Source organism: Homo sapiens, chromosome 10 (assembly GCF_000001405.40).
Source record: "Homo sapiens chromosome 10, GRCh38.p14 Primary Assembly".
In the NCBI taxonomy this organism is placed as follows: domain Eukaryota; kingdom Metazoa; phylum Chordata; class Mammalia; order Primates; family Hominidae; genus Homo; species Homo sapiens.
Window position 1 is genome coordinate 1,346,446 of NC_000010.11, and position 25,120 is coordinate 1,371,565.

Consider the following 25,120-nt stretch of genomic DNA (forward strand, 5'->3'; position numbering starts at 1 on the left):
AAATGCAGCATATGAGACAGTTGTTGTTGACAGGGGCATGAACTGGCTTTCAGTGTTACTGAGTCTTGCTCTTCAGAATGATCTGGGAGCATTTGTGGGGAGGAAGACATAAAATGCCTCGAGATGTGGCATATTTAAACAGATTTGACCCCCAGCCATGCTGCAGGCTCCAGCCTTTACAGAGGCACTTGGTACTAGGGAACTAAAGGCAAGAGCAAGGCCATCAGAGGCAGAGATGCCAGGGGTGCCCCACCCCGTCTCCTGCTCCAGACACTACCTGGGGCAGCAGGCCGGGAGCCAGGCCCATGTCAGGCGAGGGCACGTGGGTCCTTGCCTTCTCCCATCTGCCCAGGGTCCTCTGTTTCCCATTGGTTTGGAAAGCTAGAATTTAATGGAAAATACTACAGGAGTGAGAAAATATAAGCTCCAGTTTTGGGCAAAATGCTGCAGATTGCATGTCAATGGGGACGTGTGCCTGTTTGCTGCTCTTCAAATGTTACCAAGAAAGCAGCCCCCAGCATATGTGCCCATATTGGATACATCATGTTGACCTATGGACATCTTAACACGGGTTCTATTTTCTCAGGATGTGAGAACTGCATGTGAACATTCCATCACAGATCCTTATTTTCAAGATGAGGAAGTGCAGGCCCAGAGGGGCCCAGGACTGGCCCATTCCCTTCGGTTCTGCTCTGACTTCCCAGCCCCGCACGCCAGCCCTCAACGTGTTACTCCAGAAATGGGATTAGAGGAGCTCGTCTGGATTTTCCCTGAAATCCCTTCTCCCTTTCCCGCCTTCCTGATCATAAAGTTGCAGTGAGTCGTGTCAGAGGACCGAGGCCTTGTCTCCCCAGCCGGCGTCCCTGGGACAAGAATGAGATTGCCAAATGCCACTCTGAGCATGGTTCATGCATCTGCCCGTTTCATTCTCCCAGCTGCTCTGTGAGCGACTGCTTTTGGTATCATCTCATTTAGGAATGAGAAGAAACCAGGGCACGGGTACTTGGCACTCAAGGGCTTAGGTCCCACAGCTGGTAAGCAGATGCAGGAGACTGGCTCTGGAGACTAAGCTCACCACCTTCTCCAGGGCTGTGGATGGCAGCCGTGTGACCTGTCCCCTGCCCAGGAGACCACTGAAGAGCACACAGATCAGGAGCCAGGAGGCCTCAGCCCTCACCTCAGCTCTTCACGCCCATCGGCTACGAGACCCTCAGTAAGACCACGGGTGCCTCGACCCGGCTGGTGCACAAGGAGCACAGCCATCAACGCCTCCCGACAGCGCTCACAGGTAACGCCCTCCTCTGGACCCCACGTACGCAGTGCACCGAAGGCACCCCCAGTGGACACCAGGATTGCTGAGAAGGGAGCTGAAATAGGCTCAGGGTAATTGGGAGATGAATGGGAAGAGAGAGGCAGTAAGAGATGGAGGGAGGTAGAGAGATACAGGAACAGAGAGGGATACGGAGACAGAGACAGACACAGAGACAGAGATAGAGAGAGATAGGGGTGGAGAGAGACAGACAGAGACGGAGACAGAGAGATACTGAGAGAGAGAGACAGAGACAAACAGAGACAGGGACCGAGAGAGACAGAGACAGAAGAGGGAGACAGAGACAGAGCGAAACAGAGACAGTGGGAATGTGAATCCCGGGCCCCTGCAGGGCTATCTCGGTCCTGTGGTGCAGTGATTTGCTGAGCACGGGGTGTGCCCTGCATTGCTGGGGGCTGGGGTGGGAGTGGCTACAAAGTCATTTCTCATGGGAGGAACATTTCCCTGTTGTTTCTAAACTCTCAGGAAACTGTCTGATGTCTCTAAAGAAACCACTGTTGCCTGTGCTCGTGGAAAGCTGATTCAGGAAGGGGTCTGGGGAGTCTGGGATGTGGGTTTCCTGGGTGAGCGGTTGAGGGGCCTCTGTGGTGACTCTGAGCCTACAGGTCTTGCTGCTGCTGCCACTCCTGGGCTGTCAGGCGACGCCTGAGCCCTGGAGCCTGTGACTCTTGCCAGCCTGAGCAGTGCTTGCTCCCTGCGGCGTTGGCCCAGACTCTGTCTGGAGTGGGTGGTCTGGGGCCCTTGGCCGGGAGGTGCCTCCCTCGGCTGCCTCCATCTGAGGCCCTCCCTGCAGCTCTGCCCCCTACCCCTTGTGCCCTGCTCTCCTCCTCCCACCCCCTCTGCTCTGTCTGCTGTCTGTTTCCAAGGGAACCTGAGTTGACATGGGGAGAAGCAGAATTAAGGGCTGTGAAGGCCCCGAGATGGGGTCCAGGTCCCGACTGCTGGCTTTGGGCTCTATCTGGGCACCCTGAGACTGTGTGAGGATGGCCGGGCTGCTGCTGAGGCCAACGCTGGGAGCTGAGTGCCCATGCACCCCAGGGCTGTCCCCTCAGTGAGCCCAGCACCCATCCACCTCAGCTCTGGGGCTCATGGGAGGCACAGGCAGGCATGCAAGCGACAGCGGCCCAGGAAGTCACCAGGTGCTGCGAGAACGATGGAAAGAGGCCTGTGTGACAATGGGGGAAGGAGAGAGGGCTCAGGGGAGAGGGCTCAGGGGATGGGACTATGGACTCAGGGGAGGTGTCAGGCCTCTGAGCCCAAGCTAAGCCATCATATCCCCTGTGACCTGCAGGTACACATCCAGATGGCCAGTTTCTGCCTTAACTGATGACATTCCACCACAAAAGAAGTGAAAATGGCCTGTTCCTGCCTTAACTGATGATGACATTACCTTATGAACGTCCTTCTCCTGGCTCATCCTGGCTCAAAAGCTCCCCTGCTGAGCACCTTGTGACTCCCACCCCTGCCTGCCAGAGAACAACCCCCCTTCTTCCTTTACCTACCCAAATCTTATAAAACAGCCCCACCCCTACCTCCCTTCGCTGACTCTCTTTTTGGACTCAGCCCGCCTGCAACCAGGTGAAATAAACAGCCATGTTGCTCCCACAAAGCCTGTTTGGTGGTCCTTTCACACGAACGTGCATGAAATTTGGTGCCGTGACTCAGATCAGGGGACCTCCCTTAGGAGATCAATCCCCTGTCCTCCTGCTCTTTGCTCTGTGAGAAAGATCCACCTACAACCTCGGGTCCTCAGACCGACCAGCCCAAGGAACATCTCACCAATTTTAAATCCAGTAAGTGGCCTCTTTTTTACTCTCTTCTCCAACCTCCCTCACTATCCCTCAACCTCTTTCTCCTTTCAATCTTGGCGCCACCCTTCAATCTCTCCCTTCTCTTAATTTCAATTCCTTTCATTTCTTGTAGAGACAAAGGAGACACATTTTATCCATTGACCCAAAACTCCGGCGCTGGTCACGGACTTGGGAAGGCAGCCTTCCCTTGGTGTTTAATCATTTATGGGGACGCCTCTCTGATTATTCATCCATGTTCCACTGATGTCTGATCTCCGTGGGGAAGCCTGCCTTGGTCATTCACCCACGTTCCCTTGGTGGCAGGTCAATTGTGGGGACGCCTGCCTTGGCTGCTCCCCACAACCAATTCTCCATGCCTCTACCCTTCCCTTTAAACTTGCCTCCTTCACTATGGGCAACTTTCCACCCTCCATTCCTCCTTCTTCTCCCTTAGCCTATGTTCTCAGGAACTTAAAACCTCTTCAACTCTCGCCTGACCTAAAATCTAAGCGTCTTATTTTCTTCTGCAACACCACTTGGCCCCAGTACAAACTTGACAATGGCTCTAAATGACCAGAAAACGGCACTTTCGATTTCTCCATCCTACAAGATCTAAATAATTCTTGTCGTAAAATAGGCAAACGGTCTGAAGTGCCTGACGTCCAGGCTTTCTTTCATACATCCCTAGTCTGTTCCCAATGCAACTCATCCCAAATCTTCCTTCTTTCCCTCCCCTCAGTCCCAATCCCAAGCGTTGCTGAGTCTTTCCTCTTTCCAATCTTCCTTTTCTACAGACCCATCTGACCCCTCCGCTCCTCCCCAGGCTGCTCCTCGCCAGACCGAGCTAGGTCCCAATTCTTCATCAGCCTCCGCTCCTCTACCCAATAATCCTTTTATCACCTCCCCTCCTCACACCTGGTCTGACTTACAGTTTCGTTCCGTGACTAGCTCTCCCCCACCTGCCCAGCAATTTCCTCTTAAAAAGGTGGCTGGAGCTAAAGGCATAGTCAGGGTTAATGCTCCTTTTCTTTACCCGACCTCTCCCAAATCAGTTAGCGTTTAGGCTCTTTTTCATCAAATATAAAAATCCAGCCCAGTTCATGGCTCGTTCGGCAGCAACCCTGAGATGCTTTACAGCCCTAGACCCTGAAAGGTCAAAAGGTCATCTTATTCTCAATATACATTTTATTACCCAATCCGCTCCCGACATTAAATAAAACTCCAAAAATTAAATTCCGGCCCTCAAACCCCACAGCAGGACTTAATTGTACACCTCGCCTTCAAGGTGTACAATAATAAAGTAGAGGCAGCCAAGTAGCAATGTATTTCTGAGTTGCAATTCCTTGCATCCACTGTGAGACAAACCCCCGCCATATCTCCAGCACGCAAGAACTGGAACGCCTGAACCGCAGCTGCCAGGGTTTCCTCCAGGCCCGTTTACCCGAGAAGCTTGCTACAAGTGCCAGAAATCTGGCCACCGGGCCAAGGAATGCCCGCAACCCAGGATTCCTCCTAAGCCGTGTCCCATCTGTGCAGGACCCCACTGAAAATCAGACTGTTCAACTCACCTGGCTGCCACTCCCAGAGCCCCTGGAACTCTGGCCCAAGGCTCTCTGACTCCTTCCCAAATCTTCTCGGCTTAGCGCTTGAAGACTGACGCTGCCCGATCACCTCAGAAGCCTCCTGGACCATCACGGATGCTGAGCTTCGGGTAACTCACAGTGGAAGGTAAGTCCGTCCCCTTCTTCATCAATACGGAGGCTACCCACTCCACATTACCTTCTTTTCAAAGGCCTGTTTCCCTTGCCTCCATAACTGTTGTAGGTATTGACGGCCAGGCTTCTAAACCTCTTAAAACTCCCCAACTCTGGTGCCAACTTAGACAATACTCTTTTAAGTACTCCTTTTAGTTATCCCCACCTGCCCAGTTCCCTTATTAGGCCGAGACACTTTAAATTATCTGCTTCCCTGACTATTCCCTGACTATTCATTGCCGCCTTTTCCCCCAGTTCAAAGCCTCCTTCACATCCTCCCCTTGTATCTCCCCACCTTAACCCACAAGTATAAGATACCTCTACTCCCTCCTTAGTGACCGATCATGCACCCCTCACCATCCCATTAAAACCTAATCACCGTTACCCCACTCAATGCCAATATCTCATCCCACAGCATGCTTTAAAAGGATTAAAGTCTGTTATCACTCGCCTGCTACAGCATGGCCTTTTAAAGCCTATAACCTCCCCTTACAATTCCCCCATTTTACCTGTCCTAAAACCAGACAAGGCTTACAGGTTAGTTCAGGATCTGTGCCTTATCAACCAAATTGTTTTGCCTATCCACCCCTTGGTGCCAAACCCATATACTCTCCTATCTTCAACACCTCCCTCCACAACCCATTATTCTGTTCTGTATCTCAAACATGCTTTCTTTACTATTCCTTTGCACCCTTCATCCCAGCCTCTCTTCGCTTTCACTTGGACTGACCCTGACACCCATCAGGCTCAGCAAATTACCTGGGCTGTACTGCCGCAAAGCTTCACAGACAGCCCCCATTACTTCAGTCAAGCCCAAATTTCTTCCTCATCTGTTACCTATCTTGTCATAATTCTCATAAAAACACACGTGCTCTCCCTGCCAATTGTGTCCAACTGATCTCTCAAACCCAAGCACCTTCTACAAAACAACTCCTTTCCTTCCTAGGCATGGTTAGATACTTTCAACTTTAGATACCTGGTTTTGCCATCCTAACAAAACCGTTATATAAACTCACAAAAGGAAACCTAGCTGACCCCGTAGATCCTAAATCCTTTCCCCACTCCTCTTCCACTTCCTTGAAGACAGCTTTAGAGACTGCCGCCACCCTAGCTCTCCCTGACTCATCCTGACCCTTTTCATTACCCACAGCTGAAGTGCAGGGCTGTGCAGTCGGAATTCTTACACAAGAGCCAGGACCGCGTCCTGTAGCCTTTCTGTCCAAACAACTTGACCTTACTGTTTTAGCCCAGCCCTCATGTCTGCATGCAGCGGCTGCCACTGCCTTAATACTTTTAGAGGCCCTCAAAATCACAAACTATGCTCAACTCATTCTCTGCAGTTCTCATAACTTCCAAAATCTACTTTCTTCCTCATACCTGACGCATATACTTTCTGCTCCCCGGCTTCTTCAGCTATACTTACTCTTTGTTGAGTCTCCCACAATTACCATTGTTCCTGGCCTGGACTTCAATCCAGCCTCCCACATTATTCCAGATACCACACCTGACCCTCATGACTGTATCTCTCTGATCCACCTGACATTCACCCCATTTCCCCATATTTCCTTCTTCCCTGTTCCTCACCTTGATCACATTTAGTTTATTGATGGCAGTTCCACCAGGCCTAATCCCCACACACCAGGAAAGGCAGGCTATACTATAGTACAAGCCACCAGCCCTCCTCTTAGAACCTCTCATTTCCTTTCCGTTGTAGAAATCTATCCTCAAGGAAATCACCTCTCAGTGTTCCATCTGCTATTCTACTACTCCTCAGGGATTATTCAGGCCCCCTCCCTTCCCTACACATCAAGCACGGGGATTGGCCCCCGCCTAGGACTGGCAACTCTTAAGTCCCTCTTAGAGTGGATAGATGATCTTTGCTGGCAGAAGACCCTTCAATACTTTCACCCTGATGAAGTTCTATTCTTTCCCATTCTTAGGGCACCCTCTACCTCTCCCCAGCTATCTCCACCACACTATCAACCTTACCCATTCTCTCCTAGCCGCTTCTAATCCCTCCTTAGCGAACATCCGCTGGCTTTGCATTTCCCTTTCTTCCAGCGCCTACACAGCTGTACCCGCTTACATGCAGACCGGGCAACATCTCTTGTCTCCCTACACTTCTGAACTTCCTTTAACAGCCCTCACCTTTACCCTCCTGAAGAACTCATTTACTTTCTAGACAGGTCCAGCAAGACCTCCCCAGACATTTCACATCAGCAAGCCACCGCCCTCCTCCGCACTTACTTAAAAAACCCTTCTCATTATATCAACTCTACTCCGCCCATATTTGGACCTCTCACGACACAAACTACTATTCCTGTGGCCACTCCGTTATGTATCTCTCAGCAAAGACCCACTGGAATTCCCCTGGGTAACCTTTCACCTTCTCGATGTTCCTTTCCTCCTCATCTCCAAAGCCCAACTACACACATCACAGAAACAATTAGAGCCTTCCAGTTCCGTATAACAGACAAGCCCTCTATCAATACTGGCACACTTAAAAACCAGTAGTTATTGCTAGGAAGACACCCTGTATTTCACTCCATCCTTGGCTACCTTCCCCTTGCTCATCAGACTCTCCTCCCATGCCCTCTTCTTGTTTACTTATACACAGCCCCGTAAATAACAGAGGTTGCTCGTAGACACTCGAACAAAACCGTATCCAGGCCATCACCAATAATTCTACAGGACTATTCCACAATATCACCCCTTACCACAAAATCATCCTTCAGCTTAATCTCTCCCACTCTAGGTTTCCACGCCACCCCTAATCCTGCTTGAAGCAGCCCTGAGAAACATCGCCCATTATCTCTCCATACCACCCCCAAAAATTTTCGCCGCCCCAATACTTTACCACTATTTCGTTCTATTTTTCTTATTAATATAAGAAGACAGGAATGTCAGGCCTCTGAGCCCAAGCTAAGCCATCATATTCGCTGTGACCTGCAGGTACACATCCATCTGGCCGGTTTCTGCCTTAACTGATGACATTACTTTGTGAAATTCCTTCTCCTGGCTCATCCTGGCTCAAAAGCTCCCCTGCTGAGCACCTTGTGACCCCCACCCCTGCCCACCAGAGAACAGCCCCCCTTTTTCCTTTACCTACCCAAATCCTATAAAACGGCCCCACCCCCATCTCCCTTCGCTGATTCTCTTTTTGGACTCAGCCCACCTGCACCCAGGTGAAATAAACGGCCTTGTTGCTCACACAAAGCCTGTTTGGTGTCCCTTCACAGGTACGTGCATGAAAAGAGGAGCCTCAGGGGATGTGACAATGGGCGAAGGAGAGGGGGCTCAGGGGAGAGGGATCGGGGAGCAGGGCCCTCCTGGGCATCCTTGGGATGGGGAAGGTGGCACCCCATGTGCTCTCCCACATCCCCTCTCCTCTCTCGGATGCACCTCTTTCCTTTCTCTGGTTCATTTAAACGTTGGCTTTTCCCAGTTGCCATCTCCTTTAGCTGACCCTGTCCTTTTTGGTGTAATGATGAGTCCCAAAGGAAGGGGGCTCAGCCATCCTAATGGAGCCATTGTCTACCCCAGGGAGGCTGTAGGCTCTCTGCTTACAGAGCCACCTTCCCATGGGGAGCAAGACCCTCTAGCCTCTGAGCTCCATGGAGGTACCCAAGGCGGCACCAGCCCAGGAGGGCAGTGGAGCCCCTGCAGGCAGGTGACCCGATCCTCTCCAGCTTGCACCTCCCTGAGGGCTCCCACGAGGCTCCCATGTGTTCAGGAGTCTCCAACCACCAGGACATGATGCCCAGGTATGTGTCCCTCCCCTGGCTGCCCACCTCCTCCCACACAGTCGGGCTCTGCAGTCTTTCAATCAACTCTTCCCTGCCAGTCAGCCCACCGTGGTTTCTCCCTGTTTGGAACTAATAACAAACACTCTTGTCACTCTTGCTGTGCTAAATCATAGACCTCTATTTTAATGAACAGTGTTCTGTGTCCTCCATCAGCCTAAAGCCCTTGGGGGCTGGGAGGATGGAGCAGGCTGGAGTCTTGAGGATGAGCCCCAGCCCCACAGAAGCTGAGCTCTGCTGTCTGTAACTGTCCTCCCTGCTCCACCCCTCAGTGACTAGACTTTGGACGTGGGACTCAGGTCTCCGGAAACTCAACGTCCTTCTCTGTAAAACAGACCTCAAAAATTTTAAATGAGCGTTACTGTGCATGTAAAGCACGTAGAATAATGTGTGACCCAGATTAAGTGCCTGGGAAATATTAGCTGCTAATGGCACTGTTGTTATCATCAGTAATCATGGCTGTGGAATAGAGACAAGTGGTGAAGCTTGGCTCACAGGCCCTGCTTAACTAATGGACAGTCATATTAACCATATTTGAAAATTCCAAACATGGTATTGGGAACCTATAGGCTTAAATACTTATCAGTTACATATTACAATTTCACCTAACATGTTTTAGTAGGAAGTAGGGTGGCAGAAGCTATTATATAAATGTATATCGTACATTGCATACATTGTATAAACATACATTGTGATTGCATGTACATTGCATAATGTATGCTGTACATTGTATATATGTTGTGTAAACATATCACAATTGTATATACATTTTATACATATGTTATAGAAATATATAGCATACATTGTATATACATTGTATACATGTATAGTGTATAAATGTATATCATACATTGTATTTACATTGTATAAATGCATAAATGTATTGTTAAGCATCTACAAAGCCTCTAGTGCCTCATTAAGGAAGGATTTTCTGAAAGTTTTTTTTTCCATGTGTAATGACAATGAGTGACCTCTCGCTCTTTTTCTGGCCGTCAGCACCTCTTTCACAGACCCAGGACACGAAGAAAGCCAGAAGGTTTGGGGATGGCTGGATCTGCAGGACTGTTTTTCCTTCCCTAAAAGAGCACCTTGCCTTCCTGCATGGACCACAGGATGGTGTGTGTGGCCACAAAACCCAGAAGGTGAGGTGCTGAAAGAAAGCAAGCTGCTGGGATCATTCCTGCTTCAAAGCAGGTGATGTGGCCACAGGCGCATGGGAAGAATGGTCCCAGAGACACAGGCAGCCAGCTGGGGTGGAAGGGCGTCCTGGGGACCCACCCCCTGGAGGGCTTCACAGAGAACAGAACCGCCTGGGGTGAGCTGGTGGAAAACAACAGAACTTCACACAGCCCCAACGATCCATTACCAGGACCCAGAACCTCAGCTTCAACGAGGCTCTGCTTGTCCCCAGTGACTGAAGCCTCCCAGGGCACTTAGCTGACCTGGGGATGATGGAGGGGAGTTGGGGCTTTCATGCTGGCCTTCCAGGGAAGCCTTAGGGCTGGCCCAAGTCTGGAGGAAAAGCTGCATGTAGGAGTGACACCATCTTAAAGCCCATTCTTTGGAAGCCATCATGATGAAAAATGGCACACACTGTTCTTCAATCTCACCTCCCTCCAGCCTTCTCAAGCAAAGCAACAACAACACACTCATCACCACTTCTAAGACACGAGAACTAACTTCAAACAAGCCAATTGTGAAATCCTGATTTTTCTCCTTAAGTAAGTTATGGAATTATTGAAAACCATTAGGAAGGAAGGGCTGATTCCTACCTAACTGGTCTCTCTTCAGTCTTCTCCCTGAGTTACACACTGAGACCTTTGCCACGACAGAAATGACGTTCGTTTTAACCCCGGATTCCTGGGCTTTATGGTCAGGAGGGTTCTTCTAGGGCCCCCACTCACAGCAAGCCCTTTGTAATTTTACACGTAAGTGAAATCAACAGTGACTGTCTGCACAGGGGGTTAAAAGAGTTCCTGTCAGCAAAAGGGCAGAGACGTGAAACCGAACTCAGGACACTGCAAAGATGCTTGGCTCCTGGCCCACTTGTGATTATCCCTCCTCCATTCGATTTATTCACAAAGTGAGTGAGACTGAATGGCTGGTTTCTAGCCAGAGGGGACTTCAATATTTGAGTGAGGGAGACAGGAAAAGACCCAAAAATCGTTAGTGTCCCCACCCTAGGACACTGGCATATCCGTGACCTCTCTGAGTGCTCTGAGAAAAATGAGGGAGGTTGGTGGGCACAGTGGCAGACAGGTGGCTGCTGGAGTCTCCCTCTTCCCACGGGACCCTCCTGTCCCTGGCACCACAATCTCACCTCCTTTCTCACTTTTCAGTTGCAAGGAGGGATGCATGGTTTTTTTAGCAAATAAAATATAAGACATCTGGTTAAATTTGAATTTCAGATAAATAATTACAATTTTTAAATGTAAGCTTGTCACTGTATTTTATCTGGTAACCCCTTGCAAGGAGCCTGCAGACCCCAAGCAAATGTCTTCCCTTAATCTAGAAAACACCTTCACCCAGGATGGGAGCGACATGAGCCATCAGGCCTTTTATTTGCTTTTAATATACTTTGGTGTGGGCATAAGTATCTTAAATAATTGAACCTGTAATTGCACCATAAAAACAATGATGCTAATACAAATAACAGCCAACAAGCATGGAGCGCGTACTCTATTGTTGTAGACACACGAGCCCCAGAAAAACTCTGTGCAGAGGAGAAAACTGAGCCACAGACATGTTAGCAACTTGCTGAATTAAAGACCTTTTGGTAGGTCTCTGAAACGCTCACACAGGACAAGCAGGTTTTTCCTACGTTTGCACAAAGCTCTGCTGACTGTAAGTCTTTCTCTCTGGTGTAGATCTATATACACACATATGTGCATGTGCATCCTGCACAAATAGTGTGTGTGAGAGAGGAAGTAACAGAGAGAGAGACAGACAGAGAGAGAAGGAGAAAAAAATCACCCTGGACTTAGCTCTGGGCATCAAAGAAGTGGCTTCATCTTGACTTGCTGCCTCAACTGATTGAAGCAATCCCAATAATTGGTCATGATTTTTCTGCAAGGATTCAGCTGCGTATTTCTTGGTGTGGGGACAGAGGATGAACCCCTCAGGCTTTCCTCTCACTATGGTGTCTCTGGTGGGAACAGCTGGGGATGCAAAGCCATTATGATGTCGGATAGGAGAGAAACCTGCTGTGCCCTCAGCCCTTGAGGATTGCTTGGTGAGAATGCGGAGCCAGGTCCATCCCAGGAGGAAAAGGCCCAAACTCTAGGCAGCTTCTCCCAGGGACTTCACAGACACTTTTTATGTCTTGAATACCTGCATTCCCAGACCCAAACCCACAGTTCCCAGTTCAAACACCTGGTTCTAGTGCCTTTTCCGCTGCCCAGGGATGCCCCAGGTGCCACCGCTCCCAGTCTCTCCAAGTCTTTACGCAAATATAAAGAACTTCTCACTGGCAGGGAATAATTCTTACAAGGCTGTGTGGCAAATGGAAAGTTTTTTTTTTTCAGCAAAACAAAGATTCTTTTAACATTTGTAGAAAGTCATTCAAGGAACTGTTTCTGAAGGCACTACTTTGGAGTTTGGACTGAGTGTGGGAGAGTGCGGGGTGAGGGTGTGTGGACAACAGGGTGTCTTTGCCTGACATGAAAATTTAAAAAACAAAGAAATAAAGGGGGTACTTGAGGGTGAAAGATAAACTCACAAACAAGTCAATAAACTTCCTTTTCAGAGTTACTGAGCACACAGGTGACTTTTACTGATTTATTTATTTTTACTGGCATTATAGTTTACTTTATTCTCCTTTCTAAATAGTTTTCACAGAAAGAAAATGCTGAAAAGCATTCCTTTATGGTTGCGTTTTTGCTTAGGAATTCTTTTGATGCTAGGGGTGGGGAGCAAACTGAAGAGAGATGTAGGTTTTGTGATTTTATCATTTTTTATGATGATGCCTCCAGGTAGCACATATTTATATCCTGACACAGTCTTGTTCTTACTTCTGAGTACCCAGTTAACCTAGAGGAGTCTTGAGTGGACTGCAGATGAGGAGAGCATGAGGGGTTTGCAATGAGCCAGGCAGGTGCACCTGAGCAGGCACTGCCCCTATCAGCTGATACTCATGGAGAGGAGACTGGCCTGCAAACCCTCTGCCAGTACTGTAAACCCTACATGTTTAGGTCTGGTGTGAGTTCTAAGGAATCTGATAAATGCCTGCCTTTGTCACTCTGGCTGACTCGGATCCCATGAAGCTGATGGGTTAGATGAGTCTGATCCTGAGAAACACCCCCGGGTGCAGGAAATAGTGAAAATCAGATACGAAGAAGCCACACCTGTGATTTTAATCTTTATGAAAATATCATGCTTCTGAACTTCCTCTTTCAAAATTCGGATGACACACAAGTCTATCGTACGTCATCTTTACCACTGGAGGGTGGCTTCACGTGTTTATAAGGAAGCTGATATTGTGAATCCCAACCTCCACCACAACGCTCACCCTTACAGACACACTATTGCAGGTCTCCGAGGGCCTTTGGGAGGCCCTGCTTCCTGCGAGCTGTCCCGGCAGGACAGAGACTCTTCCCGCCGCGGCCCTGCCATTCCAGGCTGAGGCTGTGAGCAGCACCATGACAAGCTCCAGCCGCAGTGGCTCTCAACAGTGTGGGTCTCTGACCACCCGACGAGCTGGAAGTGCAGACCGCTGACCTCCCTTGAGAACCTACTGGGTTCTTGCAGTAGGCTCCTCAGCGGTGTCTAAACACGCCACTCAGATGATTCTATGCACCATCACATTGGAAACTTTTTTCATTGACTGTTACTTAATGAGAAGACTTCCCTCCGGGATGGTTCTGAAGCTTCCTTCATAGGAGCAAGCCTTTGGCGGAGAGCACTGAGCAGACGTGCAGCATCTTTGCTGGCTTCTACCGAAACACCATGGATCCAGACGTGGTTTTGTGGTCCTGCACGTGGAAGCCAGCCCTGCGTGGGGTGAGCCTGGGACTGTGGGCAGAGAACCTCAAGCACCGGGCCGGCACCCAAGTGCAGAGACTGCATCGTCCCAGCAGGAGGCGCTGCTTCCAGGCTCCCTGGACGGACTCCGGGAGGGCGGCCTTTCCCCCCAGCCCCAGAGGTGGGCCTGCCCTTTTCCGAGCGTGGGACACAGCCCAGGAAAACGCATGGCTTGTCCTCCAGACACAGGTGCTAACAGGGCCGTCAGACAAGGGCCAGGGACTCAGGCTTTTAGGAATTTCAGCTCCAGAGCCACCATGCAGTGGGACCAGGGGTCTGCGTGGACAGGAAGCAAGCTGTGTAGACGGGGGTCCATGAAGTAGAGACAGGGTTTTGGGGAAGGTTGGGGCAGGGCAAGGAGGAAAAGCCACATTTACAGCAATTTCTGAAGTCTTTTCATTTTTTCCCCCTGAATCACATCCATAATAGGATTTGAATTTAATAAACTGCTGAAGGTTCCTGGCCCTGAGTCCCAGTGTCCTCCCAGCCCCCGCCCAGCTGTGGGTGTGCATGGGGAGCGGTACGAGGGAGGGTAAAATGGGCCCCTTGGACGCCGCGTGCAGAGCAGAGATGAATGGCCCGAAACCCTCGCGCTGCTCTGCGCCCTTCGTCATCCAGTCGGGGTGGTTAGGGACTGTCAGAGAAAAATAATTTAGCGGCCATGGCTCTAACTGATGTGCTGCATTCTGGGGTCAAATGACTTTTACAAAGTAGTAGTGCTGCCTGGTTTCTCCATCGTGAGAGCTCAGGGCTGACAACATGAAAGAAAAAGGCACTGCAGCCAGAATTCACTGACATTCTTCACATTTCACATGAGTGGGACGCAGGAGGGGGGCTGGGGAGGGTGGAGGGATGTTTCCTGCTTAACAGATTCAACAGAAGAGTGGCAGGCTCAGCTGGGTGAGCAAGGTATCCCAGCGACGGGGGACACGCCCCAGACCATGGGTGGTGGGGCTTCTCAGAGGAGGTGGCAGGAGACCCGAGCCTGCCAAGGTTGCACCTAAGGTCACGGGCAGCATTAGGAGGGCTCTCTCCCAGTCTCCCCACCCCCCCATCCCCCCTCCCCCAGGCTGCAGGGGTGAAGTGGCTTCCAGGACGGTCACTGGCAAGTTTAAGCTACAGAGAGTGTAGAAACAGGGTGAAAAAGGAAGAGAGAAGGGAGTAAATAAGAAGGAGGTGTAAGAAAAGACCAAGCCAGGCCCCAGCGCCCTTGTGAGGAAGTGCCCAGGGACTTATGTGGAAGCCATCCTTGCTGTCTGCCACCTTGTTTTTACTTACATTGTGTTTTTATTTGAGGGCGAGTTTGGACGGCAAGACTGATGGAGATTGTGGTCTAAATGCCTCTAACCCACTCCTTAAAATGACCACCGGATGTTCCACAAGTACTTGAAAATGAATGAATGGCTTCCCGAGAGGCAGAAGGCAGGGGTGTGCCCTACCCCACGCCGGCCAAGAGTTCAACAAGCATTGGTTGACAAGTGAATAGTGAGCACTTGAACCCAGTCACAATTCAAGATGAGGGCTCTGCCATGACGCATGTGGTCTGTGTCACCCTGCAGTCTCCCTGAGCAGTGTCTGAGGTTCGAGTGGGACCCTACATTCGTGAAGAGATTTATCATCTCCCCAGGCAAAATAACAGATTCTGTCCTAGGTGTTGTGATGTAACAATGGTAGCGATCACAGCCATAACTTACAATTATTGCATACTTACGACGAGTCCCGCACTGGGCTAAGTGCTTTTTAACTATGTGAAATGTTTCTTTCCTTGATTGATGCCAAAATGAATAAAGATAATTTTCTGTATCTGCTACATTAGTGATGCCCACAGATAATTCTGAACATGATAAGAGAAAAGATAATTTGCATAAATCAGCCATTGCAAGACTTGGCAGGATAAGATTGTTTTAAAATGGTATCAGAATAGTTTCTGACAGATAGGAGGCAGGAAAATAGGGTCTGGAGGCAGGAACATAAGGCCGGTGCACACTGACTTCCTAGAGCTGAATCAAATGGAAATACTTCAGCGATGACAGGAAATGTCCTCTCCATTTACACAGGGCCTACGCCGAGTAACCAATGGAAATCTCTAGAGGGTATTTAAACCCCAGAAACTTCAGTAACGGGCTCTTGGGCCCCTGTGCTCAGGTGCTCCCACCCCGTGGAGTGTGCTTTCATTTCCCAGAAATATCTGCTTTTGTTGCTTCGTTCTTTCCTTGCTGTGTGGGTTTTGTCCAGTTCTTTGCTCAAGGCGCCAAGAACCTGGACACCTCCAACCGGTAACGCCCAGACAGTTGAGAACATGTCTGGAGTGAGTGAAGGTAATCGCAGGTTAGAAGGCGGACCCACAGCTGCGCAGGAAGGAACCGGAGGGGTCCTGCCGGGCAGAGTGAGGCCCAGCTCCCCACTCTCGCTCCGGCCTCCTCGGCCTCCCAGCGCGATTCTCCCTTGGACCAGGGACCCCGTCTGGATCCTGCCGGGCTGGCGGCCTCTCCGGCTGCTCCCAGGCACAGGGCGCCTCCCTGGTGGAAAACTTGACCCCAATTTTACCCGGCACGACCATCCGACCCTACGCGTGGAGACCCAGTCACGGACGAAACCTGGCACGGGGGACCCGTCCCTCCCCCTGCAGACAGAGGCGCCCTGGCCGCTCCCCACCCGGCCTCGCTGTCTCCTCCCGGGCAGCCGCATTGTCACCCTCAAAACCGCCGGCAGCACCTGTTCTCCCATCAATCACCTCACCAGGCCGGGAGACATTCTTTCCCCTCCCGCTCCACGCGGCCTCTCCTTCTCCGAGAAGCCTGGACGCCACTCCCAACAGGGAAAGGTCGGGGTCTCCCCCGCGCCCCCAGCGCCGCCCGTTCCCCCTGCACCCGCCGCGCCCCTCACCTGCGGCATTGGCGTCCTCCTGGCCCTGCCGGGCGCGTGGCCGGGCATCTGGATGTCGAACAGCTCCTGCAGTGCGGCCTGCGCGGCCTGACCCCGGGCCAGCTTCTTGCTGCGCCCCGAGCCCTCGAACGTCCTGCCGTCCACGCTCACGGCCATCACGAAGCTCCGCGCGCGCCGCTCGGCCGGTTCTGCCAGACACACGTAGCGCAGCCCGGCGCGCAGGCGGTTCAGCAGCACCACGGGGTTGCGCTCGCCCGGGGCCGCGGGGGTGGCGGGGGTCGGGCCCACCAGGTCCAGCGCGCGGCACAGCAGCCGCCGTCGCCCGTAGGCCGCGGACAGAAGCGCGGCGTCCCCGGGGCGGCCTCCCGCGAGTCCGGGGCGCGGCGCCGGGGGCTCGAACTCCTGGAAGAGCGTGTCGGGGAAATCGGCCTGGTCGGAGGTGAAGTCCGTGCCGGGGCCCGGGCCCCCGCCCATGGCCAGGTGCGCCTGGCAGGCGTTGGGGAACTGCACGAAGGACCTGAGTGCCAGCTCCGCCGCGCGCATCTTGGCCTTCTTCTTGGTGGGGCCTGTGCCCTCGAACGTGAGCCCGTTCACCTCCACCGCTACCGCGAAGACCGGGGCATGCACCGGGCCCGTCTGCGACACTGTCCGGTACTGCAGGCCCGGCCTCAGCTCGTGCAGCTGCACCAGCGCGTTCTTGGGCGCCACCGACCACGACAGCTTCTTCCAGACCAGCTGCAGTTTGCACAAGTGGCCCCCATTCCCCTCCTCCAGCGGCCGCTTCCTCTTCGCGCCGGGCGCGCCGCCCCGGGCCCGGTCCCCGGAGGGCGGTGGCCGCGCGGCCAGGTTGCCCACGTTGCGGTTCTCCTTCACCTCCGCGCTGCTGGTACCTGGAGGGGAGAACAGACCAGTCAGGAGCCTGGGCGGGCGCCGGCAGGTCGATGGGCACAGCAGGCACTCCCTGAGGGTCCCCGTCCCAGCGACCTCGCCGCCCGCGCCCCCAGGTCAGGCCTGAGAAATGACTGTGGCCGCCAGAGAGAGGGAGCCCCTGGGAGCCTATGGCCCATGCGGGGAAGTAGCGTCCTTGGTCCCTTGCTGAGGGCCTGTGGCTAGGAGCTGTCGTCTTCTGGGCTGGCTCCTGTTTTAAGTGAGGCTGTGTCTCACAAACAGACAAGCGCCCCTGACTTTGTACAAGTTTTGGGCAATGTCAAAGGTCAGAGAGGCCTTTCCCGGGGTGGTGTGGTCTAGTGTCCCCCTTCCCACCTGCTACAGGGACCTCCAGGCCCGGTGCCCAATGCCCCCCCAATACTGAGGGTCAGGGGGTCCGGCCCCCAAACTCTACTTCCTCACTCACAGCTAGAGGCAGACAGGTGGTGTCTCCTGAGAACTCCCTGGAGGAAACCCTAGGAGCTGGCCCAGGTGAGGCACTGCGGCCTTGGGGTGAGTCCCTGGCCTTTCTCCTGGAGAAGGGGCACACCTATTCAGTAAATACGGTTGGTCCTCTGTATTCCTGAGTTCCCCATCTAGGGATTCAACTAACTGTGGAGAGAAAGTATTCGGGAAAAAATGGATGAATCACTACGGAACGTGTACAGACATTTTTCTTGTTATTAGTCCCTAAACAATACAGTATAACAATGATTTGCATAGCGTTTACACTGTATTAGGCAGTATGCGTCATCCAGAGATGATTTAAAGTACAGGCATGCCTCCTTGTTCGGCTTCCCAGGTATCGTGTTATTCACTAATCCAAGGTTTGTGGCAACCCTGAGTTGAGCAACTCTATCAGCCCACTGATCCCACACCATGCGCTCACCTTATGCCTCTGTGTCACATTTTGGTAATTTTTTTTTTTTTTTTTTTGCGACGGAATCTCACTCTGTTGCCCAGGCTGGAGGGCAGTGGCGCGATCTTGGCCCACTGCAACCTCCGCCTCCCAGATTCAAGCGATTCTTCTGCCTCAGCCTCCTGAGTAGCTGGGATTACAGGCACCCACCACCACGCCTGGCTAATTTTTGTATTTTTTTAGAGATGGGATTTCACCGTGTTGGCTAGGCTGGTCTCGAACTCCTGACCTCAGGTGATCTGCCTGCCTCCGTCTCCCAAAGTGCTGGGATTACGGATGAGAGCCACCGCGCCTGGCCACATTTTGGTAATTCTCAAAATATTTCAAACTTTCCCATTATTATATCTGTTATGGTGCCCTCTGATGCCTGATCTTTGATGTTACTATGGTGATTGTCTTGGAGTGTCATGGATCGCACCCACTTAAGACGGCAAACTTAGGAACTGTTGTGAGTGTTCCCACCGCTCCACGGACCGGCCGTTCCCTCATCTCTCTCCCTCTGCTCAGGCCTCCCTGAGAAGCCCCAATATTGAAATTAGGCCACTGAATAACCCTGCAGTTGCCCCTAAGTGTTTAGTGAAAGGAAGAGTCACTCCTCTCTCACTTTAAATCAAATGTAGGGAGAAGGCATGATGATGGCCAAGATGGGTCAAAATCTGGTCCCTTGCAGGAACCCAGGCCACTTGCTTGGTTTCTGCCCCTGGGAGTCTTACCACCTTCATCAGACTGGCAAGCACTTTAAAAAGACCTGTAATGTCGCAGTGTTTTCAGGTAGGTACCATAGGTCGGTGGTCAGGAGCACAAGCACAGCTCCTTTGGAAAGCATTTTGGGAGCTTCGGGCAAGAATAAAGAAACACACACCTTACTCAGCAATTCTGCCACTGGAGATGCATCCTAGAGAAACCTTCATACACAGAGGCAGAACTGAACAAAGGTGTGCACTGCAGCATGCTTTCACAAAACTGAAAACTTTGAAAATGCCCAAGTTTCTATGGTTAGAGGAATGATGAGTCATCAGTGAAATAATCACACTACAGAATACTATATAGCAGTTGCATGTAATGGACTATGTCTGTATGCTTCAATGTAGATGAATCTCAAGAAATAGGATGCCAGATAATAAAATTGACTTGCAAAGTAACCCATAGGATAGGATATTATTATAAGAACACCGACGTTCTATATTCTTCATGCAGCCATGCGTCTGTGACAAGGCTGCTGATGCGTGGGTAATAAAGATCCAGTCCAGTCTCCCCTGGAGAGTGTAGGAGGGAAGTGCAATGAGGGGCTGGGGGGTGACTTCACGTGTGACTTCAGTGCTTTATTTCTTTTGCAGAAAATGCTCTGAAGTCCATTTAGCAAAATCATCATTTGCCAGCTGGGGTGATGAATGCATTTGATGATGATTTAATTTTTCTGGACTGACCATCCTGGACCACTGTTTTCTGGCAAAGCTGTTCCATTAGGGAATCTCAGCCATGGATGGCCCCACGACCTGCTGGGTCCATACTACCCTCGCTGGTGAATGTGCTTCTGGAAGGCTCCATGAGGGTTTACTACAAAATACTCTGAGAATTATGGTAGTGAGCTGTGCCCTTGCCCCACCCTGAGGCTTGGCTCATGCAGAACCTGGACTTTGCTGCTTCCCATTGCCCCAGTCAGCCCTGGGGAGGGTATTAATGTCCGATTTTCTCAGTGGGGAAGTTCCTTTACTGAGGTTGCAGAGTTTATTAGTTGGTCGCAGTGCAGTTCAGTCCTAGGCATCGGATCACCCTCGTCTGTGTTGTTGCTGTAAAGGTGATTTTATGGAAACTGATTACTTCCATCATTGTCTTGGCCTATGTACAGTAACACCCTTTTCTGGGCCCTCTGGAAGAGGAAGATGAAGCTGAGCCCACAGGCTGCCCCACGTGTGACCGGATGGTGAGCTGTCCCAGGCAAGAACACACAGGCTTCCCTTCACTCATTGGCTTTGTCCGTGGGGACAGGCTCTTCTGCCAGGTGTGGATGAGTTTTTTCTCATTAAGCAAGTGGAAACTTGAGGCAATTTTTACAGCTAACCCACAACTTAGAAATAGAGGTTGAGTGCGGCTGGATGTTGACACGTGCATCTGCTGGCCATGTGGCCCGAAAGTCAAGCAGGAATGAGGCCTGGCTGGCCCAGCCCCACGCTCCCCGCCCCTCAGCTTATGACATCGTTGTTGGAGAATAATAAAAACATACATTTCATAGGCACAAAAGATGCCCTTGAAAATCAGGCACCTTTGCGAGGTATCCTGACATTGGAGAATGTTCTTCTCACGTTGCGCGCTGCCTGCCCGTTCAGCTCGGGGTGAAAACATCCGGCTCTTGGCCTCAGCTATCACCACCACCTGGGTTCTCCTGCCGAAGGCTCTGGGCTCTGCTTTGAAAGTGCTCTCTGTTTGCTAAAATCTCTATTTCTCATTTGAATTTTTTGAATTGTGAGGTGGCTCTGTTGTTTTCTCTGGCAATTATGTCTAAAAAAGTATTAGGTTTGGGGAGGTAATTTTGTTCAAAATGTGGATCTGAGAGCTTGATTAGTTATAGGTGCACAACATTCATTTACAGTTGATGGCGGCAGAAACCGTTACCTTCTGAGGAGAAAGGGCTGAGTGCAAATGCTTTTGTTAATCATTATGCACTTTGGGTATACATATAGCACTGCTCTACTGTTGAGTGTGTTTCAGGCCAAGGGTAAGCAGATGAGATTAACCATGGGATTTTCCAAATTGAACTTAAAGATGGAGCAAAAAACCCAACAAGATCAACCCCCCAACCCCATACCAGATTGCATAGAGATTTGCCTGGTACTCTGTAATTTCTTATTGATTTCTCGCAAGGTGGGGATGGACGAGACTGTCAGTGTGATTACAGTGGCTGGCGTTATTGCATGACCTTTGCTGGATCTCAGATCAGAACTCACAGCAACGCTTTGCCGCTAGCTGCGCTGAATGCCTCTTCCTGACTCAATGTCCTACGACTCTCAGAATTAAAGTTTTCCATGGTATAAACCATGAATGTCAGATTGTGGTATAAGAGCCTCTTTCATAATAATCAATAATTGATAATAAGAGCATACTTCAGGGGCCTGTCCTGGACACACCAGCTGGGCCCTCTGGGGGGTGATATCACCTGATTAGGGTTTGGAATCCTCTGCACAGGCCCCGATTCCCATTTCCCTGACGTGGGAGCCCAGCACAGAGGCCACAGCCCAGCGGTGGCCTCTGCATGGAGCTGTGGGGAACGGGGGCGCAGGGGACACTCGGGCTCTGCTCCATCGTCCAGGGGTACGTGACCCTGGGCAAGTCACTCAGTCTGGCCAACTGATTTTTTAAGGCAGAAAATGAAGATTTAAAAAATATTTGCCTTACAAGTTTCTTACAGGGACAAACGGAGGCAGCACATCAATGGGCTGAGTGAGAGTCGGCCGTGAGGGAACATGGGACGCATTTTGAAAACACAGCAGGGAAATGGTGGGGCAGACACTTCTCATCCTCCTCTCAGCCGCATCTCGCCCACCTTGCTTCTCTCTGTCCGGGCCCTACTTCTCTCCCTGCTCATCTTTTTCCCTGAGCTTCTCCGTGCACTTTGCAGGAATTCCAGGGAACCTGAAAGAAGGGTTTCCAGGGCCTCATGTCTGCGAGTCGCGAGCTGTGGCTGGGGTTGCGTCTCCCTCCTTGAGAGGAGTTTTTGAGGGAGTTTTGCTCCCTCAGAAGGGCCGAGAGCAGCATTAGCTTTTCCACACACAACAAAGCCTCCTCTCTCTCTCTGGTTGGCAAGGCAAGAATTCGTTCTCACAAAACCTTCCAGAACCTACTGAGTCAGGTAACAGTGCAGGTGCCTGAGGCATACGAAGGGAAAAACAGGCTTTGCCTCTTTGGTCCCTCAGGCCCAAGTGGGAGAAGCCTTGACACTATGACCCTGTGACAGTCCTGGGGCCGGGCTGGGTGAGGGTGGGAGCCGAGCTCGCCCTGTGGCAGTCGTGGGGCCGGGCTGGGTGAGGGTGGGGGCCGAGCTTGCCCTGTGGTCCTGTGGCAGTCGTGGGGCTGGGCTGGGTGAGGGTGGGAGCTGGTCCTAGGGGAGTGGCGCTCTGGGCTCTGAGGCTGTTGGAAAATGGAGGAGCTCACGTCCAGGTGCCGCCCCTGGCGGCCTCTTGCTGTAGTGACTGCATGTGAACCACTCACAGCTTTAACGCCGACTTTACAAATTAACTTTTTTTCCTTCCACACGGAAGGTATTAAATGTGTTAGACTCCCCTCCCCGACCCAGGAAATTGGTCTCATTTTTTTCTCCATATAATCAACAGGTTTCTCACACTCAGTCATCGTATATAAAAACCTAGAGATAAAACATCAGGAGACCAGGAAAACACCTGCCTCTAAGTAGAAAGCTATTGATGGAAAGCTATTGTTGACGCACCTGCTTGGTGGGTCTTAGATCCGAATTCCTGCACTCACCAGGGTCTCTACTCAATAGGCCACACCCTGGGGGTGAGGGGACCTGGGGGACTATCGGCCTCCCCTCTTCATGCTGCCCTGTGGAAGTTACCCCCTGGATTGTGTCCCAAACCCCTCACTCTTTCTCTGTGCGCCCCAAGTCTGGGTGTTCCCGCTGGCCAGCAGGGAAGATGATAGCGGCTGTTACCCACACAAAAGGCAGTGGAAGGTGCAGGTGATCATTTGCTTGACTGTGGTAACTACTTCACTAAGTGTAAGTGTAACGAAACATCATGATGTACGCCTGAAATATACACAATAAAATACATTTTAAAAAGTCAGCCTGACTTAGGCTCACAAAGCCTGATTAGCCCACCAATGGCAGCTCTGCCCTTTTTCCGAGAGGGTGGGCATGGCCACGCCCCTCCTGAGTCATCCCCTCTGTCTCTGATCCCTAGAGCAGGCACACTGAGCTTTTCCCTGGCTCCCACTTTTTGTACTTTGTCCCTGTCTTCTCTCAGGAAGCTGTCTCCAAAGCTCGAGGCACAGATTGGTGAATGGACTCGTTGTCTCTGGGGCACAGAGGTGGATTCCAGTGGCTGGGTGCTGGCAGTGTGACCTGGCCCATCACGCGGTTCACAAATGGAACCTACCACATGGGCCTTGTTAGATCAATGGAGACAGTGCGTGTAACAGTTTTAGCATTCTCTGTCAAATGTTGCAGACACTCAGAATGCGTGATTTCAGCAACACATCAAAAAGATAATTCATCATGATCAAGGGGGTTTTATTCTAGAGATGCAAGGATGAATCCGCATCTACAAATCCATAAATGTGATTTACCACACAAACAGAACTAAAAACAAAAAACATAGGGTCATCTCGACAGATGTATAAAAGGCATTTGATAAAATCCAACATCCCTTCATGATAAAAACTGTCAACAAACTAGGCATTGTAGACACATACCTCAAAATAATAAAAGCCATCTATGACAAACCCACAGCCAACGTCACACTTAATGGGGAAAAGTTGAAAGCATTTCCCTAAGGACTGGAACAAGATGATGTCCACTCTCACTACTTCTACTTAAAATAGTACTGGAAGTCCTAACCAGAGAAATCAGGCAAGAGAAAGAAATAAAAGACATCCAAATTGGAAAAGAGGAAGTGAAACTATCTCTGTTCCCTGATGACATAAATGTGTGTATACCTAGGAAACCCTAAAGACTCCTCTAAAAGACTCCTAGACTTGATAAATGGCTTCAGTAAAGTTTCAGGATACAAAATCAATGTATAAAAATTAGTAGCATTTCTATACATCAATAATGTTTAAGCTGAGAAACAAATCAAGAACTCAATCCCATTTACAATAGCCACACACACAAAATAAAATACCTAGGAATACATTTAACCAAGGAGATGGAAGATAGCTACAAGGAGAGCTACAAAACACTGATGAAAGAAATTGTAGACACAAACCAATGGAAAACCATCCCATGCTCATGGATTGGAAGAATCAGTGTTGTTAAAATGTCCACATTGCCTAAAGCAGTCGGCAGATTCAATGCAATCTCTATCAAATTCCAACATTATTTTTCACAGAATTAGAAAAAACAATCCTAAAGTTCATATAAAACCAAAAACAGACCCTGAATAGCTAAAGCAGTCCTGAGAAAAAGAACAGATCCAGATGTATCACATTGCCTGACTTTAAATTATACTACAAGTCTATAGTAAGAACAGGATGGTATTGGTACGAAGATAGACACATAGACCCACGGAACAGAGAACCCGGAAAGAAAGTGGTCCGTCTCCAGCCATCTGGTCCTCAACAAAGCTGACAAAAATAAACAATGGGGAAAGGACATCCTAGTCAGTAAATGGTGCTGGGAAATTGGCTATCCATATGCAGAAGAATGAAACTGGACCCCTATCTCTCACCATATACAAAAATTAATTCGACGATGGATTAAAGACTTAAACATAGGACCTGAAACTATAAAAATCCTACAAGAAAACCTAGGAAAAACTTCTGGACATTGGCCTAGGCAAAAGATTTATGATGAAGGCCCCAAAAGGAAATGCACAAATCCAGAAACAGACAAAGTGGACTTAATTAAACTAACAAGCTTCTGCACAGCAAAAAATAAAATAAAGTAAAATAAAAAAGTAAACAGACAACCTACAAAATGGGATGAAATATTTGCAAATTATGCCTCTGACAAACGGCTA

General features: G+C 50.5%; 1 protein-coding gene and 1 long non-coding RNA gene across 2 annotated transcripts in view, besides 2 other annotated features; one reads left to right on the plus strand and one right to left on the minus strand.

Moving 5' to 3' along the window:
* ADARB2 (adenosine deaminase RNA specific B2 (inactive)) overlaps positions 1 to 25,120 on the minus strand; it is a 560,213-nt gene that overhangs the window by 169,133 nt on the left and 365,960 nt on the right. The window contains exon 3 of the mRNA NM_018702.4: positions 16,583 to 17,472. Within this exon, the coding sequence (NP_061172.1) occupies positions 16,583 to 17,472 (890 nt within the window). The remainder of the gene's footprint in view (positions 1 to 16,582; positions 17,473 to 25,120) is intronic.
* Positions 13,000 to 13,079: an enhancer, noted in NCBI's record as "active region_2901". NCBI's record gives its function as "activates an Ori minimal core promoter by ATAC-STARR-seq in GM12878 lymphoblastoid cells {active_cell/tissue: GM12878}" and the evidence as "EXISTENCE:reporter gene assay evidence [ECO:0000049][PMID:35858748]".
* On the plus strand, positions 13,164 to 15,506 carry LOC105376342 (uncharacterized). Its single transcript, XR_930528.3, has 2 exons — positions 13,164 to 13,885; positions 14,993 to 15,506. It is a non-coding gene; the product is annotated as an uncharacterized LOC105376342 (long non-coding RNA).
* Positions 23,329 to 23,623: a silencer, noted in NCBI's record as "tiled region #10920; K562 Repressive non-DNase unmatched - State 21:Repr". NCBI's record gives its function as "represses a minimal TATA promoter and a strong SV40 promoter by Sharpr-MPRA in K562 cells {active_cell/tissue: K562}" and the evidence as "EXISTENCE:reporter gene assay evidence [ECO:0000049][PMID:27701403]".